The 2,925-nt window shown below is 43.1% G+C and overlaps 1 annotated feature.

Annotated features, from left to right (window-relative positions):
- Window positions 351–1,550: an enhancer, noted in NCBI's record as "BRD4-independent group 4 enhancer chr18:61536385-61537584 (GRCh37/hg19 assembly coordinates)". NCBI's record gives its function as "activates an origin of replication core promoter dependent on BRD2, P300/CBP, MED14 and CDK7 cofactors, and independent of BRD4, by STARR-seq in HCT116 cells {active_cell/tissue: HCT116}" and the evidence as "EXISTENCE:reporter gene assay evidence [ECO:0000049][PMID:35650434]".

The following is a 2,925-nucleotide window of genomic DNA, read 5'->3' as shown; positions in this document are numbered from 1 at the left end:
CGTGTGTGTGTGTGTGTGTGTGTGTGTGTGTGTGTGTGTGTGTGTGTATTCTTTCTCTTCATCCTATCTACAACTTTCCACACTGTCAGGGTATAGTGGACACTGTTGGTGCCTTGTCTATGTGCCTCTGTCTGCTTTGTTGCTGTCTTGCACCTGCAACATTCAGCATATTTCCATTGGGTGCTAGAGCCATGTCTCTGGTATGTGAGTTGGAAGTGCCGGGTGTATTACGTCTCCCATGGTAAGCCCATAGCCAATAGTTGACTGGTGTGGGAATTCACAACCCCAACTCTTTTATTCTGGTATGGTACAAAATCTCAAAGATATTACCCCCTAGAGCTCTCAGAGGGATCAGTCCAAGTCTGAGACTTCACCCAAAATCACCCTCATTCGGCTTCATTTCCTTTCCTGTGCTGCTTCCTTTACACCCTTTCTGGTTTCTTCTGGGGGCACTTCCTTCATTAAGAACTTCTACATGAATCCTGGGCTTAAGCTGGCTTTCAGGAGAATTCAACCTAAAACAGACAGCCTCCTCCTAAGTTGTTTTTGGATCTAAAGGAACCTAACGAGAGTGACTCTCGCAGAAAAATTCTAAATTAAGTGACTGCATACTGATGTTTCCCAGCACCCAGTGAGTGCCCTGACACACAGTAAGTGATTCATCAACTTAGGCTGAATCATTGATTGCATGATTGAATCAAATTTCTTGATAGAGTTGACTTAAAACCTTACCTGACTTTCTGATTATGGGGCTAGAGCAATACCTGAGCCCTCATCATACCTAAATACCAGGCTGGACAGGGCTGGCTCCTTTGCTCCCTTACCTCAAAACCACCCAAATGTATTTTCGGATCTCTAGGTGGAATAGAAGGTTCAGTAACAAATGTCCCCACTCCTCCTCCTTTAACCATAGGATCTGTGCTCAAGGCATCAACTGCTGGCCCCCCAACTCCTTCCCTTTGGCTTGCCCTCTACCTTCCGGGAAAGAGCAGCAGAGCGTCAATAATTGCCACATCAAAACAGAGCTGCTGACCCAGGACTCCTCTTTAATACTGTATCCTTCTAACCTTGGGGAAAGACCGGAAGCTCATTCCACACGCAAACCACATTTCCTGCCTATTTGTCATGACAGCACATCACGCGACTGCTGTGTCATGTGGCAAAATGGCAGTGCACGCATTCTTGCAACATTTTTGGAATGCAGGCCCAGCAAGTACACATGTAGGAAGCCTCATCATTCTAAGAACAATGCGTTTACACAGGGCATTTCGAAAAAAACATTTACAAAATCTTATTTTTTATGGTTTCCTCCAAATGATTGCAAAGTTTAAGAAGCAATGGAAGGGAAAGTGAATGTGCACTGTGGTGCATACGGACAATACAAAATAACAGAATTATAGATGCAGTTGATATTGGACACACACAAATATAAACTATAAAAAGGGAAAACAAAAGTTTTGCTCAAGTCGCAACTTCCAATCCCAAGGAGAGGTTTGAGGCATCTTATTTTGGCTTTCAAAGGAGTTAAATTAATGACAAAGTATGTTTGTCTAAAACTGTTTTCTATCCACTTGGGTGGCAAGGGAGTTTCTATTTTACACCTTGCGTTGCTGTCTGCCTCTGCTGATTCTGCAGTTTCCTTTTGTTTCCTAGTTTCTTGTAGCATTGGCCCATTCTAGTTCATTTCTGCTTATTGTTTCAGGCTTTATTTATTTATTTATTATTTATTTTGCTGGAGCCTGTCTCTGTCACCCAGGCTGGAGTGAGATGGTGCGATCTCATCTCACTGCAACCTCCGCCTCCCAGGTTCAAGCAATTCTCCTGCCTCAGACTCGTGAGCAGCTGGGACTACAGGTGCACTACAGCCCACAACAGCCCGGCTAATTTTTGTTTTTTTTTTTAGTAGAGACGGGGTTTCACCATGTTGGCTAGGCTGGTTTGAACTCCTGACCACAAGTGATCCGCCCGCTTTGGCATCCTAAAGGGCTGGGATTACAGGCGTGAGCCACCATACCCAGCCTGCTACAGGCTTTTATAATAGATTATGAAACCTTGTTGTGTAGAAGTGAAAACTAACGCTCTTCCTTGCTTCTAATATAACAAAGCACTTTGAGTATGGGAAAAAAATTGCATCTTGGGATCATTAATAACATGGTTATTACATCTGGCTATAGTTTCACTCTCAAATAATAAAAACCTCAAATAAACCTGGTCTCCCTAATTAGTCACATCCGAAGCTATGGCATGACCCTTATGAATACAACACAAGTACGTGAAAGTCATTGCTTTTTCCACTATCGATGGATTAATGTAAATTTGGAAATCTTGGTAATTTTGCACATAGTTTTCTTCTGAGGTTACCTGTTCTTTCCTTTTCTAAAGCTTTCTGTCTCTGGATCTTTCTTTGATATCTATTTCCCAAGAGATGAAGCTATCTGAGTTCTACTGCTAACCCCAACGGAAACATGCAGGTTACAATGCACCTTGTCTGGATAGTCCAGCAAACCAGAAATAATCGAAAAGCAATTCCAATCTTTGCTTCCATCTCTTGGAAGAAAGAGGGTTTCCAGTTGAGGCCTCCATGACACCACATCAAAAATCCCTTTGCAACTCTTTTCCAATTCTATCAACAACAGCCCTGTGCCTGGACCTTTGCCTCTCCCTCTTGCCTTTGCTCTTCGATGTCTCTCTCTGCTCCCTACTCTCACACGCCCTCTCAGACACCTAAACCCCTTGCTTTACAAAAATTCCTCAGGCCTCTTCCTTTTCCTCCTTTTTATTAGCTCTTAATTAGATCTGTTAACTTACCCTCTGGGTTATACACATTACTCAGTTTCTCCTGCCTAGAAACTAATCCATGAAGCAAGAAACCTCCCCCACATAATAGAAGCAAAGAGAATAGAGAGAGGCAGACCTGTGGTGGAG

The sequence above is a fragment of the Homo sapiens genome, chromosome 18, assembly GCF_000001405.40.
Source record: "Homo sapiens chromosome 18, GRCh38.p14 Primary Assembly".
Taxonomy (NCBI): Eukaryota; Metazoa; Chordata; class Mammalia; order Primates; family Hominidae; genus Homo; species Homo sapiens.
This window is presented reverse-complemented; position numbering and strand designations above follow the sequence as displayed.